The sequence below is a fragment of the Homo sapiens genome, chromosome 1, assembly GCF_000001405.40.
Source record: "Homo sapiens chromosome 1, GRCh38.p14 Primary Assembly".
Classification (NCBI taxonomy): Eukaryota; Metazoa; Chordata; class Mammalia; order Primates; family Hominidae; genus Homo; species Homo sapiens.
Window position 1 is genome coordinate 39,062,283 of NC_000001.11, and position 7,770 is coordinate 39,070,052.

Consider the following 7,770-nt stretch of genomic DNA (forward strand, 5'->3'; position numbering starts at 1 on the left):
TCAAATAGATGAATGGCTAAATAAACCATGATATATCCATATCACATGTATCGAGTTAAATGGGAGCCCCCCAAAAGACATGTACATATATTAACTCCTGAACCTATGAATGTGACGTTCGAAAATAGCGTCTTTGAAGCCGGGCGCGGTGGCTCACGCTTGTAATCCCAGCACTTTGGGAGGCCTAGGTGGGCAGATCACCTGAGGTCGGGAGTTCGAGACCAGCCTGACCAACTTGGAGAAACCCCGTCTCCACTAAAAATACAAAATTAGCCCGGTGTTATGGCACATGCCTGTAATCCCAGCTACTCAGGCTGGGCAGGAGAATCACTTGAACCCAGGAGGCAAAGGTTGTGATGAGCCGAGATCGCGCCATTGCACTCCAGCCTGTGCAACAAGAGCAAAACTCCATCTCGAAAAAAAAAAAATTAAAAATAGGGTCTTTGCAGCTGTGATTAAGTTAAGGATCTCGAGATGATATCAACCTAGATTATCTGGGTGGGCCCTAAATCCAATGACAAGTGTCTTTTTTTCCCCAAGCAATCAATCCTCTTGTTGCTGGGACCACAGGCATCTGCCACCACACCTGGCTGAATTTTTTTTTTTTTTTGAGACAAAGTCTCCCTGACATCCAGGCTGGAGTCCAGTGGTGCTATCTGGGCTCATTGCAACCTCCGCCTCCCAGGTTCAAGCAATTCTCATGCCTCAGCCTCCCGAGTAGCTGGGATTACAGGTGTTCCCCACCATGCCCGGCTAATTTTTGTATTTTTAGTAGAGACGGGGTTTTGCCATGTTGGCCATGCTGGTCTTGAACTCCTGGCCAGAAATTATTCGCTGCCCTCAGCCTCCCAAAGTGCTGGGATTACAGGCGTGGGCCACCATGCCCAGCCAACATTTGACTAATTTTTTAAAAAATTTTTTGTAGGGACAGGTCTCACTATGTTGCCCAGACTGTTCTCAAACTCCTGGGCTCAAATGATCCTCCCGCCTTTTCCTCCCAAAGTGCTGGGATTACAAAGGTGAGCCACGTCACTCAGCCAATAAGTGTCCTTTTAAGAGACAGGAGAGGAGAAGGCACAGACATAGGGAAGACCATGTGATTGGAGCGATGCCCTTACAAGCCAAGGAATGGCTGGAACCAACAAAACAGAACCTAGCAAGGAAGCATTCTCCCCTCGAGGCTTCAGGGGGAGCATGGCCCCGCTGACACCTGGGTTTCAGACTTCTGGCTTCCAGAACTATCAGAGAATAAATGTCCGTTGCTTTAAGCCACAGACCGAGTTTGTTGTGATTGGTTATGGCAGTTCTAGGAAACAAATATACCATGGGATCCTACTTAGTAATAAAAAGGAACAAACTTGATACAGCAGCAACTTAGCTGGATCTCAAGGGCTGAGTGAGAAAAGCCATCTGAAAAGGTCACATACTGTATAGTTCCACTTACGAAACATTCTTAAAAAGACAAAATTATAAAGATGGAAAATAGTGCTTGCCAGGTGTTAGGGATGGTGGGGGACAGTGTAACTATAAAGGAATATCTCCCTGCACAAAGAAGGGAGATCTTTGTGGTGATATATTTATCTTGGTTGCAGTGGTGCTTACAGGAATATAAACGTGATAAAATGACGTAGAACTATGTATTCATATCAGACCAGAGTACATTTCCTGCTTTTGATATTGTGTTGTAATTATGGAAGAGGCAGCCATCGGAGGAAACTGGGTGAAGGCTATGTGGAACTTTTCTGCACTATCTTTGCACTTCCTGTGCATTTACAATTATTTCAAAATAAGAAGTCAAAAGTTAATTTGAATAAGGGAGCTGGGTGCAGTCGCTCATGCGTGTAATTCCAGCACTTTGGGAGGTTCAGGTGGGAGGATCGTTTGAGTCCAGGAGTTCAAGACCAGCCTGGGCAATAAAGTGAGAACCCATTTCTATTTAAAAAAAAAAAAAAAAAGACCGGGCACCGTGGCTCACGCCTATAATCCCAGCACTTTGGGAGGCTGAGGCGGGTGGATCACAAGGTCAGGAGTTTGAGACCAGCCTGGCCAATATGGTGAAACCCCATCTGTACTGAAAAACAAAAAATTAACTGGGCATGGTGGGGCGCGCCTGTAGTCCCAGCTACTCAGGAGGCTGAAGCAGGAGAATTGCTTGAACCTGGGAGGTGGAGGTTGCAGTGAGCCAAGATCACACCACTGCACTCCAGCCTGTGCAACAGAGTCAGACTCCATCCCCTTTAAAAGACAAAAAAAAAAAAGGCCACAGTGGCTCACACCTGTAATCCCAGCACTTTGGGAGGCCGAGGGAGGCAGATCATGAGGTCAAGAGTTCGAGACCAGCCTGGCCAACGTGGTGAAACCCCGTCTCTACTAAGAATACAAAAACTCGGCAGGGTGCCGTGGCTCACACCTGTAATCCCAACACTTTGGGAGGCCAAGGCAGGCGGATCACGAGGTCAGGAGACCGAGACCATCCTGGCCAACATGGTGAAACCCTGTCTCTACTAAAAATACAAAAAAATTAGCTGTGCGTGGTGGCGTGTGCCTGTAATCCCAGCTAGTCAGGAGGCTGAGGCAGGAGAATTGCTTAAACCAGGAAGTCAGAAGTTGCAGTAAGCCGAGATTGCGCCATTACACTCCAGCCTGGTGACAGAGTGAGACTCTGTCTCAAAAAAAAAAAAAAAAAAATACAAAAATTAGCCGTGTGTGGTGGTGGCGCATGCCTGTAATCCCAGCTACTCAGGAGGCTGAGGCAGGAGAATTGCTTGAACCCGGGAGGCGGAGGTTGCAGTGAGCCCAGATCATGCCACTGCACTCCAGCCTGGAGAACAGAGCAAGACTCTATCTTGAAAGGAAAAAAAAAAAAGAAGGAACTTTTTGGGATGATGAATATGTTCTATGTTTCATGGGTAAATACAACTCTCAAAACTCATCCAACTAGACCGTTAATGTGGGTGCATGTTCTTGCATGTAAATTACACCTCAGTAAAAAAAAATTTTTTATACAAAAATTAGCCAGGCACGGTGGGGCACCTGTAATCCCAGCTACTTGGGAGGCTGAGGCAGGAGAATCGCCTGAACCCAGAAGGCGGAGGTTGCAGTGAGCCAAGATCGCTCCACTGCACCCTAGCCTGGCCGACAGAGCAATACTCCGTCTCAAAAAAAAAAAAAATTTAGTTAAAATAAAAACAACAACAAAAGTAAGAGGAGCAAACAAAATGTATCAATTTCAGCCGAGGTTTTCTAGGGCAAACACTAGAATATTGTACCTTTTGCTACCTGATACCTTATCAATCAATATATATTACTGAGCACTTCGATGCAAGGATTCCATCACCTCCCCAACATGTGATATAGAATAGAAGCAGGTAAATGTTTACTAAATGAAGGTACACAGCGGGCTTTTGGAGAGGAAATAGACTCTGGCCTCCAGCCATGGAATAATTTATACTGTCTCTTGCTAACATACCTGGAGCCGTTTCCTCATTTTGTGATCCAAAGAGTAAACATGTAAAACCAGCCAATCTTAGGTTATATTCTTGCCATCCTAGAGAGTAAGTGCTCCAGGACATCAGAGTAAGAAGTCTGGACCAGGGGCAATTCTCTTTGTATAATGTGGATTATTGTTTATGTTCCTATCTTGTTTCCCTGTTAGACTGTGAGCTGGAGAGTTTGCACTTTTATGTGTCGTTCTAACACTCTCAGTCCTTACAGTTCACTGAACCCAGCAGCCAGTCAAAAATCTTTGCCACTGTTGAATTGTAATGCTGTACGTTCAGGGGAATACATTGCTATTTATTAAATGAAGGAGAACTTTCAAATTTAAGAAGAGATTGTTTTGCATGCTGAAGACAGTAGGTATTATAAAATACTTAAATGGGAGCCTTTCCCACCCCAGAACAACCTACTTAGCATTAGATAAATTTACTATTTAAAGTAGCCAAAGACCACTTCTAGAAATAGAACCTAAAGAAATAATAGCAAATGCATGTAGAGAAAAAAAAGCTAAAAGAAATCTTTGTAAAAAAACAAAACAACAACAACAAAAAAGCGCATTTAGAAGATTTGTTGCAGCATTGTTTGTTTGTTTTGAGACAGGGTCTCACTCTGGCGTCCAGGCGGGAGTGCAGTGGTGAGGTCTCGGCTCACTGCAACCTCTGCCTCCTGGGTTCCAGAGATTCTCGAGCCTCAGCGTCCCAAGTAGCTGGGATTACAGGCATGCGCCACCAAGCCCAGCTAATTTTTGAATTTATTTATTTATTTATTTTTATTCTTATTTTTTTTTGAGACAGACTCTTGCTCTGTCACCCAGGCTGGAGTGCAGTGGCGTGATCTTGGCTCACTGCAACCTCTGCCTCTTGGGTTCAAGTGATTCTCCTGCCTCAGCCTCCTGAGTAACTGTGATTACAGGCGCCCCCTATCACGCCCAGCTAATTTTTGTATTTTTAGTAGAGATGGGGTTTCACCATATTGGGCAGGCTGGTCTCAAACTCCTGACCTTGTAATCCATCCGCCTCAGCCTCCCAAAGTGCTGGGATTACAGGCATAAGCCACTGAGCCTGGCGTAATTTTTGTATTTATAGTAGAGATGGGGTTTCACCATGTTGGCCAGGCTGGCCTGGAACTCCTGACCTCAAGCGATCCGCCCTCCTCGGCCTCCCAAAGTGCTGGGATTACAGGTGTGAGCCACTACAGCTGTCCAAAATGCACACCAGATTTTGAGAATTTTGTTCATGAAAAAGTACTTAATTTTTTTTTTTTTTTTTGAGACAGAGTCTCGCTCTGTCGCCCAGGCGGGAGTGCAGTGGCTTGATCTCGGCTCACTGCCAGCTCCGCCTCCGGGGTCCATGCCATTCTCCTGCCTCAGCCCCCCGAGTAGCTGGGACTACAGGTGCCCACCACCACGCCCAGCTAATTTTTTGTATTTTTAGTAGAGATGGGGTTTCACCATTAGCCAGCATGGTCTCCGTCTCCTGACCTCATGATCCGCCCTCCTCAGACTCCCAAAGTGCTGGGATTACAGGCGTGAGCCACTGTGCCCAGCCAAAACTATTTAAATTTTTAAAATATTGGTTACATTTTGAGATGATAATATCTTGGATATGTTGGACACATAGGGTTGTTGTGAGGACTGAATATGCTGAGAGTTCTTATACATATCCTGCCCTCATAAACACCCAAGCTTCCTACTGTCAGCATCCCACACTACAGTGGTACATTTGTTACCGTCAATGACAGATCATTTCCATCCAAACTTCATAGTTAATGTTAAGGTTCCCTCTTAGTGTCAAGCATTCTATGGGTTTTGGCAAATGCATAACGATATCTATTCACCATGATGCTATCATACAGTGTAATTTCATTGCCCTGAAAATCGTCTGTGCTCTGCCTGTTCATTCCTCTTTCCCCTCATTCCTTGGCAGCCACTGATCTTTCCTTTTTTATACATATACTCCTAGTTTAGGAGCTGAACTCTTTTACTTTTTTCTTTTTTTTTTTTCTTGAGACAGAGTCTCACCCTGTCACCCAGGCTGGAGTGCAGTGGCGCGATCTCGGCTCACTGCAAGCTCCGCCTCCCAGGTTCACGCCACTCTGCTGCCTCAGCCTCCCGAGCAGCTGGGACTACAGGCACCCGCCACCATGCCCGGCTAATTTTTTGTATTTTTAGTAGAGACGGGGTTTCACCATGTTAGCCAGGATGGTTTCAATCTCCTGACCGCGTGATCCACCCGCCTTGGCCTCCCAAAGTGCTGGGATTACAGGCGTGAGCCACCGTGCCTGGCCTCTTTTACTTTTTTAAATGTGAATTTTAGAAAATTTTAAATTACACATGTGGGCCGGGGACAGTGGCTCATGCCTGTAATCCTAGCACTTTGGGAGGTCAAGGTGGGTGGATCACTTGAAGTCAGGGGTTTGAAAGCAGCGTGGCCAACATGACAAAACCCCGTCTCTACTGAAAATACAAAAATTAGCTGGGTGTGGTAGCGGGTGTCTGTAATCCCAGCTACTCGGGAGACTGAGGCAGGAGAATCGCTTGAACCCAGGAGACGGAGGTTGCAGTGAGCCGAGATTGCTCCACTGCACTCCAGTCTGGATGACAGAGAGAGACTCCATGTCAAAATAAATAAATAAATAAATAAATAAATAAATAAATAAATAAATAAAATAGTAGCTCTGGTTGAGGGCAGTGGCTAATGCCTGTAATCCCAGCACTTTGAGAGGCCAAGACAGGAGCATCGCTTGAGCCCAGGAGTTCAAGACCAGTTTGGGCAACATAGGGAGACCCCATCTCTACAAAAATAAAAAAATTAGCCAAGTGTAGTGGCACATGTCCATGGTCCCAACTCCTTGGGAGGTGGGAGGATCACTTGGGCCTGGGAGGTCGAGGCTGTGGTGTGTCATGATTGCATCACTGTATTCCAGCCTGGGCAACAGAGTGAGACCCTGTCTCAAAAAATAAAATAAAATAGTAACTCCCAGTGTCATGTTTTTCTATTTTATTCTTCTTCCTAACACTTATTAATAACTGCATTAGACAGAAAACAAACAGGTAAACAAATGAGCTACATGATGACAAAGTGATCAAAGTTATGAAGAAAATAAAGCAAGGCTTAAAGGAGGGGGCTACTTTGGATGGGAGGTCAAAAAGGGCCTCTTTGAGAAGGTGACTTCTAAGATGAATTTTAGGTGATGAAAATGGCACCAATCATGCAATGATTTTAGGGAATTCCAAGCAGCCAGAACAGCTTTGCAGAGTCCCAAAGTGGGACGGAAATTCACTTATTAGAGGAACAGAAAGAAGGTTTGATTTGCTAGAATCCAGTGAGCAAGGGGGTCCTGGAGCACGAGTCAGATCATTTGAACATTATGGTCCATTGAAAAGAGTGTATATTTTAGTGTAAGTGCATATTGGAACTGTGTAGGTGACATGGTTTATGGTTTTTTTTTTTTTTTTTTTTTGAGATGGAGTTTCCCTCTTGTTGCCCAGGCTGGAGTGCAATGGCTTGATCTCGGCTCACCGCAACCTCTGCCTCCTGGGTTCAAGTGATTCTCCTGCCTCTGCCTTCCAAGTAGCTGGGATTATGGGCATGCATCACCACTCCCAGCTAATTTTGTATTTTTAGTAGAGGTGGGGTTTCTTCATGTTGGTCAGGCTGGTTGCGAACTCCTGGCCTTAGGTGATCCGCCTGCCTCAGCCTCCCAAAGTGCTGGGATTACAGGCATGAGCCACGGCGCCCGGCCCTACCTTAGGTAATCCGCCCGCCTCAGTCTCCCAAAATGCTGGGATTACAAGTGTGAGCCACCGCACCCAGCCACTGATCTATGTTTTAAAGAATTCACTCTTGGCTGCAGTATGGATTGAAATGGGGGAGGGAGAAAGAATGGAAATAGGCCATTCAGAAGGCTGGTGCAGTTGTCCAGGTGATTGATGGCAGTGCTTGGACCAAGATGGTGACAGCAAGATAGAAGAAATGGGTGAATTCAGGATACATTATGGAGGCAGTTTGTCAGAACTGGCCGATAGGGATAAGAGGAATGAGAGAAAGAAAAATCAAGAATGACTTCTGGCTGGGTGCGGTGGCTCACGCATGTAATCCCAGCACTTTGGGAGGCTGAAGCAGGTGGATCACCTGAGGTCAGAAGTTTGAGACCAGCCTGACCAATATGATGAAACCTCATCTCTAGTAAAAATACAAAAATTAGCTGGGCATGGTGGCAAGCACCTGTAATCCCAGCTACTCGGGAGGCTGAGACAGGAGAATCGCTTGA

The 7,770-nt window shown here is 45.7% G+C and overlaps 1 annotated feature.

Moving 5' to 3' along the window:
* Window positions 2,880-3,172: a silencer, noted in NCBI's record as "fragment chr1:39530834-39531126 (GRCh37/hg19 assembly coordinates)". NCBI's record gives its function as "represses an EF-1alpha promoter that drives an FKBP-Casp9 reporter gene in an ReSE screen in K562 erythroleukemia cells {active_cell/tissue: K562}" and the evidence as "EXISTENCE:reporter gene assay evidence [ECO:0000049][PMID:32094911]".